General features: G+C 42.1%; 1 protein-coding gene across 8 annotated transcripts in view; it reads right to left on the bottom strand.

The window, feature by feature from the left end:
- The window catches only part of MAP3K9 (mitogen-activated protein kinase kinase kinase 9), an 86,988-nt gene that overhangs the window by 20,441 nt on the left and 43,256 nt on the right, over window positions 1–23,291 (bottom strand). For 6 of the 8 annotated variants that reach the window (XM_005267683.6, NM_001284230.2, NM_033141.4 and 3 more), the window contains 3 exons: window positions 18,036–18,216; window positions 6,967–7,115; window positions 5,863–6,038 (listed from right to left, as the gene is read on the bottom strand). In XM_005267683.6, the coding sequence (XP_005267740.1) occupies window positions 5,863–6,038; window positions 6,967–7,115; window positions 18,036–18,216 (506 nt within the window). Of the gene's footprint in view, window positions 1–5,862; window positions 6,039–6,966; window positions 7,116–9,763; window positions 15,688–18,035; window positions 18,217–22,475; window positions 22,522–23,291 lie in introns of those variants that run through there. The other 2 variants (NM_001284231.1, XM_011536794.3) reach the window with 2 other exon arrangements.

Genomic DNA, 23,291 nt, shown 5'->3' on the forward strand with positions numbered 1-23,291 from the left:
TATTTACAGACTTGGTTGTACTTTACTTTCTATTTTTTGAGACAGCAACTCATTCTGTCACCCACGTTGGAGTGCAGCGGTGCGATCTCAGCCCACTGCAACCTCTGCATCCCTGATTCAAGTGATTTTCATGTCTCAGCCACCGGAGTAGCTGAGATTATAGGCATGTGCCACCAAACCTAGCTAATTTTTTTGTATTTTAGTAGAGATTAGGTTTTACCATGTTGGCCAGGCTGGTCTCAAACTCCTGGCATCAAGTGATCCATCGGCCTCAGCCTCTCAAAGTGCTAGGATAACAGGCGTGAGTCACTGCGACAAGCCAAATTTTTTCTATTATATAAAAGATGTTTTTTCACCAAATGCAATGGCAACAAAAGCCAAAATTAACAAATGGGATCTAATTAAACTAAAGAGCTTCTGCACAGCAAAAGAAACTATCATCAGAGTGAATAGGCAACCTACAGAATGGGAGAAAACTTTGCAATCTATCCATCTGACAAAGGGCTAATATCCAGAATCTACAAAGAACTTAAACAAATTTACAAGAAAAAAAAAAACCCCATCAAAAAGTGGGTGAAGGATATGAACAGACACTTCTCAAAAGAAGACATTTATGCAGCCAACAAACATATGAAAGAAAGCTCATCAACACTGGTCACTACAGAATTGCAAATCAAAACCACAGTGAGATACCATCTCACACTAGTTAGAATGGTGATCAGTAAAAAGTCAGAAAACAAAGATGCTGGAGAGGATGTGGAGAAACAGGAATGCTTTTACACTGTTGGTGGGAGTGTAAATTAGTTCAACCATTGTGGAAGACAGTGTGGCAACTCCTCAAGGATCTAGAACTAGAAATACCATTTGACCCAGCAATCCCATTACTGGGTATATACCCAAAGGATTATAAATCATTCTACTATAAAGACACATGCACACGTATGTTTATTGCGGCACTATTCACAATAGCAAAGACTTGGAACCAACCCAAATGTCCATCAGTGATAGACTGGATAAAGAAAATGTGGCACATATATACCATGATACTATGCAGCCATAAAAAAGGATGAGTTCGTGTCTTTGCAGGGACGTGGATGAAGCTGGAGACCATCATTCTCAGTAAACTAACACAAGAACAGAAAACCAAACACCTCATGTTCTCACTCTAAGTGGGAGTTGAACAATGAGAACGCATGGACACAGGGAGGGGAACGTCACACACCCTGTGGGAGTGGGGGGCTAGGGGAGGGAGAGCATTAGGAAAAATACCTAATGTAGGTGACAGGTTGATGGGTGCAGCTAACCACCATGGCACGTGTATGTAACAAAACTGCACATTCTGCATATGTACCCCAGAACTTAAGAGTATAATTAAAAATAAATAAATAGTAAAAATAAAAAAAAAGATATTTTTAAAGCAGAGCCAACTTAATCCAGCTTAAAATGTATCCACTGTACATAAATCATCCTCCAGGTAACATCTAACAATAAAATATAAATATGTTTCCAGGGTGGCTGCTCAAAAGCTAAGTGAGGCATGTCATCTAAATCTTCATGGTCACTTGAGGAATGAATCCACTGAGGTATGTGGTTTCAACTCTCACCTTATCTTAAAGGACAATGATTTGCTCTAGAAGAATCACAAAAGCATAGCAAGGAAAAAAGAGAACATTTCCTGAGGTCTTTTTCAGGCACTTGCTCTAGAACCAAATTTGGCTGCTGCTCTATCACACTCCCCTGAAACAAACTGCTCAATGAGCACAGGAGATGTCACCCCAGAGCAGACCGTGCCCCTGCAAATCTGAAGGACAGTCAGTCACACTGCTAGGGGGAGAGCTGAAGCCAGAAAGCTAGAGGGTGGAACTGGGACAAAGTCCCATTTGGAATTGCATCTTGTGACCCAAGAACAGGCCCTTTTGTCCTGCTCTGAGAATGGAAGCAGGAGCCACATCAGATGGCAGAACCTCTTCCCTACCTCCCCTTTATCCTTACGCATGAGTTCACAAGTGAGCCCAGCACTGAATTCCTGGCAAGAGGGGAGGGGATATAGAATCAGGAAACAGGAAAGAAAACAAAGCATGCCTACAAAATTTTTAAATCTAGATTTTAAACTCTTAATGCTGGTTACCCTGGGCCTTGGATTAAAGTGGGGTGTGGGGTGGAACCTGGAGAGAGCCATGTCTGAAAAAGCAGGATATTTCTTCAGTAAAGGAGCCACAGCTACACTTCTGTGGTCGAAACCTAACTTCTTAATGAAATACTCACTATAAGTAACCATTCTGGATTAAAACAAAATAGTGTAGAAAGGGAACCTGGAGCTAGAAAACAAGCATGTGAACCCATATTGGGGAAGCTGAGCAGCAGGTAAAAGTGGAAGAGAGGAAAGAGATCAAGAAATGAATACAATATTCTGATGCTATAAACTCTCCATTCAGCTTGTCTTCCATCCCCAGGAGAATGTCAAAATAGCCATAAAAGTGATAGAAAGAAGGCCGGCATGGTGTCTCACGCCTGTAATCCCAGCACTTTGGGAGTCCGAGGCAGGCGGATCACCTGAGATTGGGAATTTGAGACCAGCCTGGCCATGATAGTGAAACCCTGTCTCTACTAAAAACATAAGAATCAGCTGGGCATGTTGACGTGCACCTGTAATCCCAGCTACTTGGGAGGCTGAGGCAGGAGAATTGCTTGAACCCGGGAGGTGGAGGTTGCAGTGAGCCGAGATCATGCCACTGCACTCCGGCCTAGGTGACAGAGCAAGACTCTGTCTCAAAAAAAAAAAAAGTGATAGAAAAGAAATGAGAAAAGAATTAGCACATTGAAAAGTGTCTAGCATGTGGTAGGCCTAGGTACTCAGTGGTTGAATAACTATTGAGTCAATAAATGAATGAAGAGAAATAATAATAGGAGATAGAGTGCAATATTGTGAATGCAATCCTTCTTTATGGGAACATAGATTTATCACAAGTTCCTGAGAGTTGAACTTGAACTACTTCTTCCTTGATGAAATAAACCTCAAATTAATTGTTGTGCGCCCTCCAAATCCTTTGTTTCTCTGTCCTATGACTTTGTTTTCATTACCAAGAGAAGAAAAATTCATGGAAGATGCAGAAAAAATATTCCTGGTTGGTTGATTTTGCTGTTAAGTGTAAAAGTTTAAAAATCAAAGCTAATTTCAAGCTTCCTAAGCCCTCGTCTCCTCCATGCTCTTGTCTAAGGGATGGTCTGGCTCTAAGTCACTCTCTTTAATGGAACACAAACCCCAGATGACACCAATGCATTCTCACAATAATACTTAGAAACAGTAGGTTGATCCAACCTGAGGAATTAGCTGAATCATAGGGTAAATGAGGAAACTTGTGGAATATATGCCTATGACACCATTCACCTGGAGGACCCTTAGACATGTTGAATCTCCTACTTTTGCAACACCTATTTGTGTTGCACAGTTTGCAAATCACATCTTCCACATACAGAATGAGTTAAGAAGAATCTCTCCAGAGAGAAAGCACATCTTACTCTCACTTACCAAACAACAAGCCTTATAACAGGGAGGCATCATAGCATGGTGGCTAAGAGAAAGGACTCTGGAACAAACTGCCTGTTCAGGTCCCAGCTTCACCATCATTAACTGTGTGGTCTTGGACAAGTTAATAAGGGCATCACATGTAATATGGAGTTAATAGCACTGACATCATTGACACAGACAATTATTATCTCATTAAATAAGATAATTCATAGAAAGTATAAGAAAGCATGGCACATAGCACATGCTCTACAAATGTTAGCTATTATGAGTTTGACTTCCTAGTAACTACTTACTGACAAAATCCAAACTTCATTTTTCTTACTGGCTGGTACCCTTATAATTTCATCAATTAAAAGAAAGGTAACCAAGGGTCAGTGATGCAGCAATCAAAAAAACAAAAGGCCAGCAACTCTTGGGATTCTTCTAGCTGGAATACTATTTAGTGAGAGGAACAGTCTTTTGTAATCATTCTGCTCAACAGCCAGTGCAAGTCCACCCACCAGGGACCCTAAAGAGTCATTGTAAGCTCACTCCATTCTTCTAGAGAATGCTCATTGACTTGGCAAACAGTACTGTGTTCAGAATTGCTATGTTCCATAAAAAGAGTTTAATTCTTCAAATCAGCTCCAGAAATTATTTGTAAGTCATTTGTGTAGAATAAAAATGACACTTGATATGGTTTGACTGTATCTTCACCTAAATCTCATCTTGAATTGTAGTTTCCATAATCCCCATGGGTCATGGGAGGGACCAAGTGGAGATAATTGAATCATGGGGGTGGTTCCCTCATCCTGTTCTCGTAATAGTGAGTTAGTTCTCACGAGATCTGATGGTTTTACAAGGGGCTTCTCCCTTTGCTGGGCACTTATTTCTTCTTCCTGCCACCATGTGAAGAAGGACCTGTTTGCTACCATGATTATAAGTTTCCTGAGGCCTCTCCAGCCCTGTGCAACTGTGAGTTGATTAAACCTTTTTCCTTTATAAATTAACCAGTGTTGGGTATGTCTTTATTAGCAGCATGAGAATAGACTAATATAATATTACAACGAATATCGGTTTTTGGAATCAGAAGACCCACATTCAAGATTCTGCTTCCCCACTTACTAACTCTGTTACTTCAGGCAAGTTGCTGACCCTCAGCTCTGAGATGGAAACAATAATAACACCTGGCCTACATACTGATGGCAGGAGCCATAGGACTCCTGGATAAAACAGACAAAAAGGTCTCATCAAATTTTTCAAGTGGAAAAAGTGGGAAACCATAAAGCCATAAACAATTTTAGCTATCATTATTATCACATGGCTATTAACTTCCCAAATTCCCATAGTGCAGAGTGAGAAAAGAAAAAAGGCCTGTAATCCCAGCCCTTTGGGAGGCCGAGGTGGGCGGATCACGAGGTCAGGAGATCGAGAGCATTCTGGCTAACACGGTGAAACCCCATCTCAACTAAAAATACAAGAAATTAGCCGGGCGAGGTGGCGGGCGCCTGTAGTCCCAGCTACTCGGGAGGCTGAGGCAGGAGAATGGCGTGAACCCAGAGGCAGAGCCTGCAGTGAGCTGAGATCGTGCCACTGCACTTCAGCCTGGGCGACAGAGCGAGACTGTCTCAAAAAAAAAAAAAAAATGGTAAAAGAAATTAACCAAATCTATAAAGACTTCTCTCTTGCCCCTAGCTACATCCCTTAGATTTAGTCCTGCCCCTATATAAGCAATATAGTTGCATGTGACTGGCTTCACCTGTGTGTACACTGACTGCTAGGGACACACTGAGGGAACAGAAAGGGGCCATTTAGGGAATGGCCACCAAAACAAAAAAGCAGATCTCTGGTAGGCTAGGAGTCTCTGAACTCCCTGGTTGGTTTGGGCTTGAAATACTTTTCATAAAAACATGAAAAATGCCACACAATTTCAGACCCATGTTATTTTTTGCCCATATTCTATTTCTGATTCTGATGTCAAAAGACATGGGAAGGATGTTCTGATAACTATCCTCAAGGTTGAAGTATCCCTATATCAAATTAACCTTCTTCTAGAAGTCTATTGTAGAATCAAGAAACATTTCCAGAACTTCTCATATTTCCAGCTGGCAGGGTGAGACATTCCACTGTGAGAAAAGAAAAAAGGCCTGTAATCCAAGCACTGGGATTTTGCCCAACTGCATTCTTCTCTGGTTTGGACAATTAAGTAGATACCAAGCTGGAAGGTGGGCATGCTAGAATCAAGATGGTCAGTCAGACTCGGTCCAGAGGTCCCTGTGAGTGAGGTCTACCAATTCAATGCATGCCTTTTTTCTTTTCGTTCGTTTTTTTGTTGTTTTTTTTGTTTTGTTTACCTTTTCTTTGGCCCTGAGTTGGTCAAACATCTCCTGAATCTCGTGTTTCCAGTTGTCCTGCAGGCAGTGGAAGGAGTCCTTGGGCATTTCAAAGAAACCAGACTCCTCTATGGTGGTTAGCTGGTCCAGGATATTCGTGAAAGATGGTCGTGAGTGGGGATCAGGATTCCAGCAGTCTGAATAGAACATGTGAATACTCAGAAAGCATGAATGGACAGAAGCAAACATGTAAGACTTAGGCTATTACATGGCCTCACTTCCCAGAAAACTACCTCTTACTTCTTCCAGAAACAGAGATCAGAATTTAGGTAACCTCAAATAAGGCTCAGGAAGTAAAGCAAACTGTCCACCATTACAACCATAAAGAGTGAAAATGGAAATGAAATGCAGCAGTTCTGTACTCATTCCATTCTGGCTGTTAATTAAGGATAAGAAAAGCGAGCCCAAAGAGTTTTCTTGTACAAAGCACCACCACAACACAATTTACCATGTTACTACCTGATTCAAGAACAGACAATGGGGAATTATGCCCTGGGCTTCAGTTTCCCATAAATAAATGAATTAGCCTTCCCCCACCCACAATGGGATGATGAGGAGGCGAGGATGAAAAGCATTCTAGTGGGAGTCAGGGAAATCGAATTCTACCTAATCCCAGCTCAGCCACTCTCTAATGAGGTGGCCACCTATCCACTCAACTTCGCTTAGCTTTAGATTCCTTACTTACAAAATTATGGGGTTTGACTAGATGACTTTTAGAGTTCTTTCTCCTAAGATGTTCTTCACGTCTCTTAAGGTATTCAGAGGTCCTGACATAAAAGTTGCTGTACTTTCTGATTTTGCATTAAATGATAATATGCTGAAGTGCCGGATAGCAGGCTTTTGTTACTAATTTCACTTCTACAGTCCCTGGAGATATGACTGCTTGCAGCAGGGTGTGGATGTCATCTTGAAGAAGCCTTTCCAGTTGCCCAGAGGATTCCTCCTTAGGTGACTGAAACTTTATCTCCTCTTTCAGTAACTGATCTCACAGAATTGGCCAAACTCTACCCAGTGCTTACAAGAGGCAAAGTGTCTCCAGTTTGGTTCAGGCCAGGGCTTACTTACCTTCCATGAGTTTGGCAAAAGGTTCTGGGCACGTAGAAGGAATAGGAAGGGCGAGTTTGTTCATGGCCACTCCATAAGCGACTGCTAAGCCATCAATGCCTCGAAAGGGCACCTCACCAGTCAGCAACTCCCAAAGTAGCACCCCATAGCTAAGGAGAGGAAGAAGACAGAAGCCATGTAATAAACTTCAGGTACAACTTCACTGCAATAGCTCGAGTCTTTTCTGAGCATCCCACATTCTCCCCAACAGATAGTGAGACTAATGAAACAGAAATACTAATGTGATATAAAAGGGAAACCATAAAGCCTACTAGCTAAAAGCAAAATCTCTGGAGTCAAGCATACTTGGTTTTCAAGTTTTCTCCCATAATTCCTTAGCTATATGACCTTGGGCAAGGCACTACACCTCTTTAAGCCTCTAATTCCTCATCTGTAATGCACGAATAACACTATCAGTCTGGCAAGGCTATTGTTGAATTAAATGAGCTACTATAGTGTTTAAATAAGTGCCCAATGGCCATAGCTCTTTCACTATCATTATTGTTTTTTGTTTGTTTGTTTGTTTGTTTTGGGATGGAGTTTCGCTCGGTTGCTCAGGCTGGAGTGCAGTGGCGTGATCTCGGCTCACTGCAACCTCCATCTCCTGGGTTCAAGAGATTCTCCTGCCTCCACCTGCCGAGTAGCTGGGATTACAGGCATGCACCACCACGCCCGGCTAATTTTTGTATTTTTAGTAGAGACAGGGTTTCACCACACTGGCCAGGCTGGTCTCTCAAACTCCTGACCTCCTGTGATCCTCCCGCCTCGGCCTCTCAAAGTGCTGAGATTATAGGCGTGAGCCACCACACCTGGCCTGTTATCATTATTATTAATGAAATAAACTGGGAGAAGAGGCAGCCTCCCAAGTATAATTTTTTTTCTGTTTTAAGAAAACTTCAGCTTTTGTCACAGATACATTTTTTCCCCCAAAGTGCTAGGATTAACAGATTTTCTTTTTAGCTTTACAAAAAGCAGAGTGCTAACCACTCAAAGCAGATTTTGTTCCTATAAAAGATTTCTTTAAATGCCCACTAGGTTGAATAGATTTCTGCCCCCAGATCAGCGTGAGTGGGTTCTTAACGGAGATCTCTAATTCAAATGGAAAAGTTTCACAAGGGTAGACCACATCGGTAGAACAGAGCAGCGCATCAGCTGTGAGAACTTCAGTGTGCCCTCCCTATCTTTCAAGTCCACATAAAGAATTTCTTTTCTCGTGTCCTGTGAGTCAGTGAATGTGGAGTACAAAGCTTAATGGAAGAATTATTCTGTGAATTCACGATCAGAACCAGACACAATCACACAGCACTCAGTCCTTCCAGGAATAAGTCAGGACAAGAAACCATAAGGCTATGAATAGTTAGAAGAATGGCTCTCCTTATGTTTTCAACACCAAATTCAACAATAAGTTTTGCAACCAGCAACAAAGGTCATATTAATTTAAAAAATAATAATAGGCCAGGCATGGTGGCTCACATCTGTAATCCCAGACTGTAAATTCAGCCTTTGGGAGGCGGAAGCAGGCAGATCACTTGAGGTCAGGAGTTCAAGACCAGCCTGGCCAACATGGTGGAACTCCATCTCTACTAAAAATACAAAAATTAGCCAGGTGTGGTGGTGCATGCCTGTAATCCCAGCTACTTGGGAGGCTGAGGCAGGATGATCACTTGAATCTAGGAGGCGAAGGTTGCAGTAAGCCAAGATCACGCCACTGCACTCTAGCCTGGGTGACAGAGCAAGACTCTGTCTCAAAGTAATCAATAATAATAATAAACCCAGTAGCTATTTATCATGAAACCTTATATATGAAGACCACTAAGACACTTTACAAACATCACTGTGAATCTCTACAACAATTCTGATAGGTATTATCAACATTTTGCACACAAGGAAAGCAAGTTTTAGACATGTTTAGGAGCATATTACTAAGGGCATACACAGAGTACATCATGGTGGGCCCAGACCAGTTCTCAATTTATTCCCCCTAGAATGCCTTCTACCATTTCTTTGCTTGGTAAATGCTAATCATCTTTCAAGATCCAACTCAAATGTCCCACCATTTATTCATTCATCAGATGACGGCTTTACCCCAGTGAGGCCTTCAAATACTATCATTTTCTTTATGCATCTTGCCAGGAAAAAACAAAAAGCCTGGTAGCCAGTTGGTCTTGACTCGTCTAGACAGGAGATGGATTTTAGTTTGGAGGCTTATGGGAATAGCATTGGATACTTTACGATGCCTTCTTGACATCCCCAGATGTTACTCAGCCCATTTGGGCTGCCATGTATTGTAGCTGTTTGTCTGCTAGCCTATAGGCTCCTAAAGAGCAGGGAGAAATGTTTTTAATCTTTGCATTCTCAGGACCTAGCCCAAGCTCTGGTACACAGGAAGCACTCATAGATATGTGAGTGAGTGGGTCTGTGGGTATGGGAGTGAGCGCATGGTCAGACAGTCCTGCAGGCTGCCCTGGGTCCTCTAGAGGAAAACCCAAACATCATCAAGAATTGCACTATTACACTTCCTGACAAACCTTTCATGTGACTTATCCAGGTAGTGGTCATGCTGGGGAGCTTCTACCAAGTGACCTCCAGGAACTCTCAGCATTGCCAACCAGATTCCTAGGTCAAAGCCACTGTTATCCTCCATTGCTTGCTCTTGGAATAAATGCCCACCTCCATCCTGGAGAATAAAAACCAAAGGTCCCACAGAACCCCTTTCTCCCAACCAGACAAAGACAGACGGTATCTGGGCCCTAACTACCTGGAAAGATCATAGAGTGTTTCAAAGATCCAAATATGTTCTGTTTGTGTCCCTGCATCCCTTCTGTGACAGTTTTCACACTAAGCTCTCAGTGTCCTGTGAAGGTGTCTCAGACCGCCTGGAAGCATGTCGGGGGTGAGGCAGGGGTGGGGGGTTATGGGACTGGGACTGGCCCCATTAGCTCCAGTCAGGGCAGCTCTGCTCTTACCTGGCTTGTTTCTTTGTTTGTCTGCATTCTATCCCACTTCAGGGGTTCTACAGCTAAAAGGAATGTGAGAACTACTGCCCAAGTAGGCAGAATGCTACCAGAGAAAGATTTAGACAGACTTGGGTCAAATGCCTGTTTTATCACTTAACAGCTATGTGCCTTTAGGAAGCAAGTTCACCTCTCCAAACCTCAGTTTCCTCATCCCTACAGCAAAGACAGCAATACCGACCTTACAGAAGAGTTACAAGGAATCACTAACACCAACAACTAACCCTCATCCAGAAATTACCATCTATGGCTAGTAGACCTGTGGTTTCTCCAAAAGGGCCTGAAATGAGATTGTGTCTGAGGAGGCTTATGTAGAGCTACAGTGTTGGTGAGAGCTTTGCTGAGGGACACTGGCATTCAGAGAAGAAGTCTTTCTGGGGCTGACTAAACTAGTTTTCCTCTGCCAACATCCCGCTTTATGTTTACAATGGAAGGTGGGTGATATAAATGAAGACTTGGTATTCTGTTGGTGGGAAAAAAGACTGGAGAAATTCAAGAGAAATACAAGTTTACGTGGATCTGAGCTCAGGGAAAGGCGGGCAGTAGAAGTTGATGTGATTTACCTCAGGTTTAGTCAACTTAGTTGCCCTCCCAAGGTTAAAAGGTCAACAAGTCCTTTGATGACCATTTGCAAGCAGCCTGGAAGAACTCGTTCAGCTAAGTCACTGCCTCTGAGTACCTCCCCGCAACACAGACCCACCAGCTCCCACAGTGCTGCCAGTAATTTCCTAAAAGTCCTCACTGCCTAACCCAACCCTCACAAAATTTACTCTTGAGTTAATAATTAACCACCTCCCGAGGCTTGGTAATCCCTTCAACCATTTCCTAGGATCAGAGGTGGAGGAGGGGTGTTTGATTTTTTTTTCAAAGTGAGGAAAAGTGGACAGCTACCTTTCTTGACAAAAGGCACAGCAACTCCATGCCTGTGCTGGGCCAGAGCTCTATTTTGTAGTAACCTGCACCATCTCTAGACTGTCAGGTCAGGGTCCATGCTCTGAAAGGAGGTGACCAGTCTCCCTTGAATGAGGTGGGCTGGGGAATGTCTTGCACTTGGTAATTATCTATGATTCCACATTCCAGGAACCACACTGACTGTTTAATAATCTTTGACAAAGATAATTGAACTAATATATGTGAAAGCACTTTGTAAATTGAAAGTAGCATATAATTCTTCTTCTTATTAACTGAACCCTCATTCAAAATGATGATGTATTTATTAACATATATGTAATATATACATTGATAAACTTATTGACATAACAACATATTTATTAATGTGGTTATGTGTTCATGCTATATTACATTCAAAAAGCAACTTTTAAAACAGAAAGATCCCACTAGGGATAGGCAGATGAGCACATGAATAGGAGTAAACACACCCAAATATCAATACGCATTATCTCTATAAGTGGGTTCAGGGTGATTTTCTTTCCCTATCTTTTCTTTCTTGTTTACCCATATTTTCAAATTTTTTCTACAGAAAACGTTTTGCTATTGTAATTTTGAGACAGAGTCTTGCTCTGTCGCCCAGGCTGGAGTGCAGTGGTGCGATCTCAGCTCACTGCAAGCTCCACCTCCCGGGTTCACACCATTCTCCCGCCTCAGCCTCAGGAGTAGCTGGGACTACAGGCACCCAGCACCATGCCCGGCTAATTTTTTGTATTTTTAGTAGAGATGGGGTTTCACCATGTTAGCCAGGATGGTCTCGATCTCCTGACCTTGTGATCTGCCCGCCTCAGCCTCCCAAAGTGCTGAGATTACAGGTGTAAGCCACCGTGCCCAGCCACTATTGTAATTTTTTAAACTTAAAATGATTAAGACAATGCCTCCACCTCATCCCACAACCAACAGGCAAGAAGGCCTTGTGGGACGATGCCCTCTGACAGTAACCACTGCTCTACCCACACAGCGCAAAGAAAGGGAACAATTTCAGCAATAGCCTTCTTGAGGCAGTCCCCAATCCAAGCAGACTGGGAAACTTACACAATTGAGGATCCAGCCCTTTATCATCTCACCCTCCATCACAACATTTGCAGGAGAACTTTAGAAGCACACTCAAAGAGCAGGAAGACAAACCAGATGGCCCTGGGCACCTGGAATAGCAGAGGCGCAGAGGCCCCCAGCTCTGGATGAGTTCCAGGAGGGTTGAGGTGTGGGGCACTCAGACTCAGCCAGTACCTGGCATAGGGCAAGCATTCCACAGACACTTCTTGAATGAGTCAGTGAGTTACAAGTCAGTTTGGGAAACAGCTTTGTACCAAGTTCCTAGGCATGCCCTGGCCCTCCCTGAGACACCCTGCTGGGCCCTAGGCACGCACGGTGGGCTGATCATTCAGAAGAGGCTGCCTTAAGTGCAGGAACAGGACCATACAGATGGTGGCATAACTACAAGCACAGATTGTCACTACACACATATCTAGTTCTAATCATAGCTTTATGTCTGCCACCTGGGTGAACTTAGGCATGTGACTTCAATTGTCTGAGCCCAGTTACCTCATCTGTAAAATGGAAATGATGATCCCTACTTTGGGGAATTCTTGTGAAGACTATAGAAGATGTATAACATTTACCACAGACCCTAGCCCTTAAGCATTTGTAGGTGGTAACAACTGTTACCAGTGTACAAGCATTGCTGTATGTACAGCAGTGGGCACACATTTTCCTCTGCTAAAGGTGAGAGACCATTTGGAGCTACTTAGATGGGTAAGCCTGAGGAAGAAGGAATGAAAGGCCCATTTAATGGGTTATAAATTGTGCTTTGAAGGAAATCCTGCAGCATAGAAGCTAAGACAGCTGAAAGGGAGCAGGGTGAATTATGTTTTCAAACCACAATCATCAACCAAACTGGGTCAGGAGGCTTAAGTCCTGGGAACAAGTCTAGACTAGAGCAACTAGAGACCTGCTGGCAGACCATGTGACAATATCCAAGACACATCATCCAAAGTGCTTCTGATTTGAGGTTTACCTCCAAGTGATTTCCTCTAGAGAGTAGAATAATTTCATCAGATGCCTCTCACCAGAGGCTCTTCCTTCAAGCCTGCTTTTAGGATCATGGTTATAGGGCAAGACCTAGAGGTTAGTCTTACAACAAGGATACTTAGGGTAAAAGTTGAAAGGTCCTGCCCTTGTTCTTTCGGTGGAGAAAAAAGCTCTGCAATGGCCTTGTCTTTCCCTGTCTACAATTTCTGTCATCCTGAGAAGACTCTACATGCGGCATTTGTGCTTTCCCTTCCCACTGGGAAGGTACGAAGGTACTTGGATACATGACACAACTCTGTCCAAATCGTCACCAGCAGAAACCTCTGGAGTGTGTGACAGTAAAACCTGAGCAATTTCAGGGTTAGGCTGGGAGAAGAAACCTAGTGGGAATACTGGAGGTAGAAAACAATCATGTTACTGAGAAATCATGGTTTTCCATTAAAAAAGGCAAGAGAGAGTTGAGTGTGACAAGTGGCTGCTTGTCCCCTCAAATCCACCCTTCCTGTCTTCCATAGTGGGGCACACAGTTGTCCAGCTAGAACGTACATTTTTCTGCCTCCCTTGGAGCCAGGTGTGCCCACATAACCAAGTGCAGGCAATTGGGTGTGCAGAGATGTGTACAACTTCTGGATAGTTTCCAAATTAAAGATAAACTGCGCTTGCCATGAGTAAGTTCTCCTTCCTCTTTTATGAAAATTGTAATACACACATAACAGTCACCCAATTTAACCATTCGGTCAAGGTCAATGCACTGAGGGAATCTAAAAGAACCTAGGTTCCTAAACGATCTCATGGGGCACAGTTGCCCTGCTAGCCTGGGCTATTTAGCTAGTTTTTGAAAGAGAATATGCTTCTATCCTATCTAAGCCTCCATATCTGTATGCCTCTTTGTAATAGCAGCTTAGCTTAATTGATGTATTAATCTCATTAGCATATGGTCAAGCAATAAAAGTGTTAAACTGAAACATGAAATTGCTGATTTTATATATCAAAAATAGTTGAATATCAGTATACAACTCAACTTAATGAGATCAGGTCAGATATTTTAAGGAAAGTTAAACTCATTTCTTCTCATTAGCTACTTTACCCTGTAATTAATGCATGGTAAAATGAGGTTCAATATACAGATGCTACAAAACATCACTGAAAGAAGTTAAAGGAGGTCTAAATAAATGGAAAGATATCCCATGATCATGAATTGGAAGACTTATTAAGATGTCAATAGGGCCAGGCGCAGTGGCTCACATCTCTAATCCTAGCACTTTGGGAGACCAAGGCAGGTGAACAGCTTGAGCTCAGGAGTTCAAGACTAGCCTGGGCAACATGGTGAAACCCTGTCTCTACAAAAAAAATAGAAAAAGTGGAGCATGCCTGTAGCTCCAGCCACTTAGGAGGCTGAGGAAAGAGGATCACCTGAGCCCAGGAGGTCAAGGCTGTAGTAAGCCATGATTACACCACTGCACTCCAGCTCAAGCAATTGAGACCCTGTCCGAAAAAAAAAAAAAAAAAGGGTGTAAATAATCTACAAAGCTACAGATTTGATGCAATTCCTATCAAAATCCCAGCTATCTATTTTGTATAAATTAACAAAATTACCCTAAGATTCATTAAATGCAAAGGACTCAGAATGGCCAAAACAATCTTCAAAGAGAAGAACAAAATTGGAATCACATTTCCTAATTTCAAAACTTACCACAAAGTCATACTAATTAAGAAAGGGTGGTATTGGCATAAGGACAGATATAGATTAATGGAGTAGAACTGAGAATCTAGAAATAAACCTTTATATTTCTGGTAAATTGACATTTGATAAAAGTGACCAAATAATTCGATGGGAAAAAATGGTCTTTTCAATAAATGGGGCCAGGATAACTGAATAGCCACATGAAAAATAATAAAGTTGGACCCCTACCTCATACCACATACAAAAATTAAGTCAAAATGGATCAGAGACATAAAAGTAAGAGCTAAGATTATAAAACTCTTAGAAAAAAATATAGGAGTGTAAGTCTTCATGACTTTGGACTAGGCAATGTTTTTTAGATATGACACCAAAAGCACAATCCACAGATGATAAAATAAACTAGACATCATCAAAATTAAAAACACTGTTTCAAAGAACAGCCTTAAGAAAGTGGAAAAACAATCTACAGAATGGAAAAAAAAATTTGCTAATCATATATCTGATGAGAGAATAGAAAGGACTCTTTCAGCTCAACAATAAAAAGACAAATACTCTAATTTTTAAATTGGCAAAGGATTTGAATAGATATTTCTTCAGGTTCAGAGATATAATTGGCCAATAATTACATGAAAAGATACTCAACATCATAAGTCATTTAGTGAAATGCAAATCAAAATCACAACAAAATACTATTTCATATCCACAAGGATAGACATAATAATAACTTTTTTTTTAAAAAAAGGCAATAACAAGTATTGAAAAGATGTGGTGAAATTGGAACATTCATACATTGCTAACGGGAATATAATAAAATGGTATAGCTATGATGAAAAAGTTTGGTGGTTCCTCAAAAAGTTAAACATAGAACTGTTACATGATTCAGCAATTCCACTCCTAGGGATAGACCCAAGAAAACTGAAAAAAATATGTTTACACAAAAGCTTGTGTTGTACACAAGTGTCCATAGCAGCATTATTTATAACAGCCAAAAAGCAAAAACAACCCAAATGCCCATCAACTGATAAATGGATAAACAAATGTGGTCTATCCATACAATGGAATATTATTAAGCCTTAAAAAGGAATGAAATTCTGAGATAAGTTACAACATGGATGAATCTTTTTTTTTTTTTTGAGACGGAGTTTCACTCGTTTCCCAGGCTGGAGTGCAATGGCACAATCCTGGCTCACTGCAACCTCTGCCTCCTGGGTTCAAGCGATTCTCCTGCCTCAGTCTCCCGAGTAGCTGGGATTACAGGCATGCGCCACCACGCCTAGCTAATTTTGTATTACAACATGGATGAATCTTGAAAACATTATGCTAAATGAAAGAAGCCTAGTCACAAAAGACCACAAATGGTATGATTCCATTTATGTGAAACATCCAGAACAGGCAAATTCATAAAGACAGAAAGGAAATTAGTGTTTGCTAGGGAGTAGAAGGGGGAAGGATTAGGGAAGGACTGATAATAGACATGGAGCTTCTTTTTTGGATGATAAAAATGTTCTGGAAATTGGCCGGGCATGGTGTGGTTCATGCCTATGATCCCAGCCCCTTAAGAGGCCGAGGTGGGCAGATTGCTTTGGATCAGTTCAAGACCAGCCTGGTCAACATGGTGAAATCCCGTCTCTACTAAAAATATAAAAATTAGCCAGGTGTGGTGCACGCCTATAATCCCAGCTACTTGGGAGGCTGAGGCAGGAGAATCACTTGAACCCGGGAGGCAGAGGTGGCAGTGGGCTGAGATCATGCCACTGCACTCCAGCCTGGGCAACAGAGTAAGACTCCATCTCAAAAAAATAAATAAATAAAAATAAAGTTCTGGAAATAGATAGTGGTTGTAATGGGCTGAATGGTGGCCCTAAAAAGCTATATCTATGTCCCAATACCCAGAATCCTTATTTGAGTCATTATCTTCACTAGAGTCTCTGGAGGGTGTGGCCCTGCCCACATCACTTTCAGGCTTCTGGCCTCAGGAACTATAAAAGCACGCACTTCTGTTGCTTTAAGCCACTAGGTTTAGTAATTTGCTACAGCAGCCCTAGGAAACTAATAACAATGGTGACCCATACACACCTTTTAAATATACTAAAAACCACTGACTTACATGCTTATTTACTTCTTGAGACAGGGTCTCTCTCTGTCACCCAGGCTGAAGTGCAGTGGTGCAATCACAGCTCACTGTAGCCTCAACCTCTCAGGCTCAAGTAATCCTCCCATCTCAGCCTCCCACGTAGCTGGGACTACAGGTGCATGCCACCACACCTGGATACTTTTTAAACTTTTTGTAGAGATGGGGGTCTCGCTATGTTGCCCAGGCTGGTCCCAAACTCCCAAGCCCCAGAGTTCTTTCCACCTTACCCTCCCAAAGTCCTGGGATTACAGGCATGAGCCACTGTATCCAGCCAACTTATACATTCTAAAGTGTACAAAGGATTAGCTTTACGGTATGTGAATAATAGCTCAATAAAGCTATTATTTAAAATAAACGTGCACACACACACACACACACACACACACACACATACACAGCTCACTTTACAACACATCAGGACAATAACTCCATGGACTGATATATAATGATAAACTACAGTCCTTTCTTTTGTATACTAAGGTGATGCTACTGTCCCACAGCCATGACAACATATACTAGGTAGTTGCTCATCCTTCCTCAGCTGGGAAAAATTTTAGATCTATTTCCTTGCAACCTTTTGGGCTCACATTTACTAGGAGGATGGCTGGTCATTTCTAGTCTGCGGCTTTGCAGTTCTGGGCACATATTTGGGACCCATTTTTTTCTGATTTCTGGATCAATGTCAACAGATAGAGCCTTGACTAAAAGATGAACTAGATAACTGGAAAAGGTAATTTTTAGGCCATCAAGAAAAACGAGATTGCACAAAGAACATTCATTGGCTCAGGAGCTTTAGAGTGAGGACATTGGGTTAATCCCCTCCCCAAGTTCAGCAGTAACAGCCACGAAAGCCTAGCATTGCTGAGCAAGCCAGACTGATCCTCACGAAGCTCTCCGAGAAGGACCGAGTGTCCTTCCCATCTTACAGCGTAGAGATGGGAGTACATGTTGCCCCTGGAATCTACTGGCCTTTCCTAGGGAGCAATCACCAGCAAAAAGTGGCCTGCGTATAGCACTTCAGGGATTTTTTTGGTAGATGAAAGCATTAGAAACTGTCCCCTGGCAATATGGGAATTGGCATAGATGACTCTTGGGGGAGGTCACTTAGACCTACTTCAGGTGCCTGGGATCCTAGGTAACCTCAATTCTCCAAGTCTTGAAATGTGTGTGCCACCAAGATGGACCTAGGAAATGCTGTCCCTGCCCCCCTGGACCTTACCTCCACACATCACTGCCTTTGGAAAACATGGAGGCCCGGATGACTTCGGGTGCCATCCAAGCATACGTCCCTGCCGCACTCATCTTGGTGGTTCGGTGCCATTCCCGAGCCAGGCCAAAATCAGTGATCTTCAGAATCTTGTTGCTCAGGTCTCCATTCTCCACCTTCTGGAGGATCAATACTAGGCAAGGAAAAGAATACAGAAGAAACCAGAGTCTGCATTAATCACAGGGAAACCACAGAACAGAACTCTTCTGCCATCCTCCTGGCCTCTCCTGTGGGCTCCAGCATTTAGCTGCCATGGATTGATGGTCAGAGCCATCATTTCTTAAACACCTACAGTGCATCCATTTTTGTACCACCCATTTTATAGCCACTATCTCTAATCCTCACAACAACTTACAAGGCAGGTACTATTGCCATCTCAGTTTTACTGATGAAGAAACTAAAATACACATGTCACAATTAAATAAATTCCTGGCTGGGCACAGTGGTTCACGCATGTAATCCCAGCATTTGGGGAGGCCGAGACGGGTGGATCACCTGAGATTAGGAGTTTGACACCTGCCTGGCCAACATGGTGAAATCCCGTCTCTACTAAAAATACAAAAAATTAGCTAGGTGTGGTAGTGCACGCCAGTGACTCTCAATAATCATGTCCTCAAATACCGGTATCTACCAAGCACCCGTTGCTACTAATCATTAAAGCACCAAAGCTTGTGAAAGCCTTATTTTATTTTTTGTAGACCTTTTTTTTGGGCTGAAATCCACATAACATAAAATTAACCATTTCAAAGTGAACAATTTAGTGATATTGTGTACATTCACAATGTTGTACAACTACCACCTGTCTAGTTCCAAAACATTTTCACCACCCCAAAAGGAAACCCTGTACCCATTAAGCAATTATTCCCCATTCTCCCTCCTCCCAAACCTTAGCAATCACCAATGTCCTTTGTCTTTATAAATTTACCTAGTCTGAATACTTCATGTAAATACAATCATACAATATGTGACACACCTGCTTATTTCACTGAACATGTTTTCAAGTTCATCCACATTATAGCTTATATCAGTACTTCATTCCTCTTTATGGGTGAATAATATTCCACTGTATGTACATATTACAGTTTATCCTTTTGTCCACTGATAGACACATGGGTTGTTTCCACTTTCTGGCTACTGTGACTAGTGTGTATGAACATGTGTATACATATATTTGTATACTTGTTGTCATTTGGGGGGTACAGATCTAGGAGCATATTTGCTGGATCGCATGGTAATTCGTGTTTATCTTTTGAAGGAACCACCAAATTGTTCTGCACAGCAGAAGAACCATTTTACATTTCCACAAGCAGACTATGGGGGTTTCAATTTCTCCACATCCTCACGAATACTTGTTATTTTCCTTATTATTGGTATTCTTAATGCCATCCTAGTGCATGTGATATGGTAACTCATTGTGGTTTGGGTTTGCATTTCCCTGATGACTAATGATATTGAACATCTATCTTCTCATGAGTTTGTTGTCCATTTGTGTATCTTCTTTGGAGAAATGTCCACTCAATCCTTTGCCCATTTTTAAAGTAAGTGGTTTGTCTTTTTATTATTGAGTTATAAGAGCTCTTCATATATTCTGATACTAGACCCTTATCAGATACATGACTTGCAAATATTTCTCCCATTCTACTGGCTGTCTTCTCCCTTACTTGATACTTTTGATACACCAAAGTTTTTAATTTAGATGAAGTCCACTTTATTTTTTTATTTATTGCACATACTTTTGGTATAATATCTAAGAATCATTAACACATTCAAGATCATGAAGATTTAATTCTATGTTTTCTTCCAAAAGTTTTATGGTTTCAGCTCTTACATTTAGGTCATTGATCCACTTTTAATTTCTGCATATAACAGGGGTCGAATTTCATTCTTTTGCATGTGGCTATGCAGTTGTCGCAGCCCCATTTGTTTAAAGAGGAAAGCTTTAAAACACAAACAGAGGGGAGAGCTGTTATCTCCCAACATGCTTTCCTGAGTGGAAGAGAAAGGTTATATTCACAGCAGTTTACATATTTGTACCACTGCAGTAAGCCCACTGTAAACTTCTACCACTGACAAACAGCTGTGGCAATAACAAACTGTCATGCTTTCACATCTTGAAAAATGTAAGAATGTTTTATCAAATTTTGGTGAAGTCCATAAGAGTGCATTGTGTAAACCTCACCTCTCCTGTCGAGCAATGGCAAAAACAGTCATGCACCGCATAATGACGTTTCAGTCAATGACAGGCCAAAACCATGATGGTGGTACCATAAGGTAATAATAGGGCTAAAAACTTCCTATCACCTAGTGATGATGGCAGCTGTCATAATGTCATGGCACCATGTATTCTCATGTGTCTGTGGTGATGCTGCTGTAAACAAACCTACTGTGCAGGCAGTCGTATAACAGCATAGCATATACAATTATGTACCATACATAATACCTGATAATGCTAATAAGCGACTATGTTACTGGTTTATGTATTTACTTTTTTTTTTTTTGGACCCAAGGTCTCACTCTGTCATTCAGGCTGGTGTGCAGTGGTGCAATCATAGCTTATTGCAGCCTCAATCTCCTGGGCTCAAGTGATTCTCCCACCTCAGCCTCCTGAGTAGCTGTGACTATAGGTATGTGCCACCACACCCAACTAATTATTTTAGTTTTTGTAGAGAAGTGGGTCTCACTTCATTGTCCAGGCTGGTCTCAAGCTCCTCGGTTCAAGCGATCCTCCCACCTCAGCCTCCCAAAGTGTTGGGATTACTGGTGGGAGCCACTGTGCCTGGCCAGCATACTATACTTTTTAATCATTATTTTAGAGTGCACTCCTTCTACTTATGTAAAAAAAAGTTAACTGTCAGGCCGGGCGCGGTGGCTCACGCCTGTAATCCCAGCACTTTGGGAGGCCGAGGCGGGTGGATCATGAGGTCAGGAGATCGAGACCATCCTGGCTAACAAGGTGAAACCCCGTCTCTACTAAAAATACAAAAAAATTAGCTGGGCGCGGTGGCGGGCGCTTGTAGACCCAGCTACTCGGGAGGCTGAGGCAGGAGAATGGCGTGAACCCGGGAAGCGGAGCTTGCAGTGAGCCGAGATTGCGCCACTGCAGTCCGCAGTCCGGCCTGGGCGACAGAGCGAGACTCCGTCTCAAAAAAAAAAAAAAAAAGTTAACTGTAAAACGGCATCAGGCAGGTTCTTCAGGAAGTATTCCAGAAGAAGGCATTGTTATTATAGGAGATTAACAGCTCCAGGTGTGTTTTGCCCCTTCCAGAGGAACAAGATGTAGAGGTGGAAGACTGTGATATGATCTTGACCCTGTGTAGACCAAAGCTAAAATGTGTTTGTGTCTTAGTTTTTAACAAAAAAGTTTAAAATGTAAAAACAACAACAACAAAAAATGTATGTTAAAAAAAATAATGTAGGCTGATGTTTCTTCTGGAACCTATGCCATGTCCCCTTTAGGAACCAAGCACAGGACCAGGCTCTTTAAAAAAAAAAAAATGTAGGCTGAGGGTGGTGGCTCATGCCTGTAATCCCAGCACTTTGGGAGGTCAAGGTGGGAGGATCGTTTGAGCCCAGGAGCTGGAGACCAGCCTGGAAAACATAGTGAAACCTTGTCTCTACAAAGAAATTGAAAAATTAGCCAGGTGTGGTGGTGCATGCCTGTAGTCCCAGCTACTCAGGAGGCTGAGGTAGGAGGATCACTTGAGCCTGGGAAGTCAAAGCTGCAGTGAGCTGTGATTGTACCACTGTACTTCAGTTTGGGTGGCAGAGTGAGTGAGACCTCTCTCTCAAAAACAAACAAACAACAAAAAAAAAGTAAATAGAAAAAAGCTCATAGAATAAGGATAAAAGAAAGAAAATGTTTTTGTAAAGCTGTACAGTGTGTTTATGTTAAGCTCCATTGTTACAAAAGAGTTAAGAAGTAAACAGTTTTTGTTTATAAAGTTAAAAAGTTACAGTAAGCTAAGATTAATTTATTATTGAAGAAAGAAAATTTTTCAGCTGGGCGCCATGGCTCAGGCCTGCAATCCCAGCACTTTGTGAGGCCGAGGCAGGAGGATCACTTGAAGTCAGCAGTTCAAGACCAGCCTGGCCAACATAGCAAAAACCCATCTCTACTAAAAATACATAAAATTAGCTGGGTGTGGTGGTCCGTGCCTGTACTCCCAGCTACTCAGGAGGCTGAGGCAGAAGAATTGCTTGAACTTGGGAAGCAGAGGTTGCAGTGAGCCACGATTGCACCACTGCACTCCAGCCTGGGTGACAGAGTGAGACTCCGTCTAAAAAAAAGTTTTCTTTATAAATTTAGTGTAGCCTAAGTGTACAGTGTTTATAAGGTCTATGGTGGTATACAGTAATGTCCTAGGTCTTCACATTCACTCACCACTCACTCACCCAGGGCAACTTCCAGTCCTGTAAGCTCCATTTCATGGTGAGTGTTCTGTAAAGAAGTACCATTTTTTATTTTTATATCATATTTTTACTGTACCTTTTCTACGTATAGATACATTTAGGTACACAAAGTCTTAGCACTGCATTACAATTGTCTACAATATTCAGTACAGTAACATGTACACGTTTGTAGCCTGGAAACAGCAGACTACACCAGGGGTGTCCAATCTTTCGGCTTCCCTGGGCCATATTGGAAGAAATGTCTTGGGCCACACATAAAATACACCAACAACAGCTAAAAAAAAAAAAAAACAAAAAAAAACAAAAAAAAAAAAACAAAGGAAAAAGTGTCCTGAGCCATAGCGGGACAAGCTTGGGCTACACCATATAGCCCAGGTGTGTAGTATAAGTACACTCTGATGTTCGCACGATGATGAAATTGCCTAATGATGCATTTCTCAGAATGTATCCCTGCCATTAAGTGATGTGTGACTGTACCGAGAAGAACTAACGAGTCTAGGCGTAAGTCAATGGGGGCCTGGCCAGGCAGTGGAACAGAAAGGAAAAGATACATTGGAACTAAAGACCCAGTGATTAACCAGATGTAGGGGCCTGATGGAGAAGGAAGACATCTCCAGCCTTTCAGGTTTGGGTGACAAGCAGAAGAATGGTGGTGCCCCTAATTGGGAAGTTGAGAGAAAAAGCCCATTTGAAGAAGCCAAGTTTAGTTTTGGACATAATGGGTCTAGGTTCACTGTAACAAGAGTCAGTATGGAACAGGAAAAGAGCAGATAATTTAAATCCTAGGCTTGACACTCT

Source organism: Homo sapiens, chromosome 14 (genome assembly GCF_000001405.40).
Source record: "Homo sapiens chromosome 14, GRCh38.p14 Primary Assembly".
Taxonomy (NCBI): domain Eukaryota; kingdom Metazoa; phylum Chordata; class Mammalia; order Primates; family Hominidae; genus Homo; species Homo sapiens.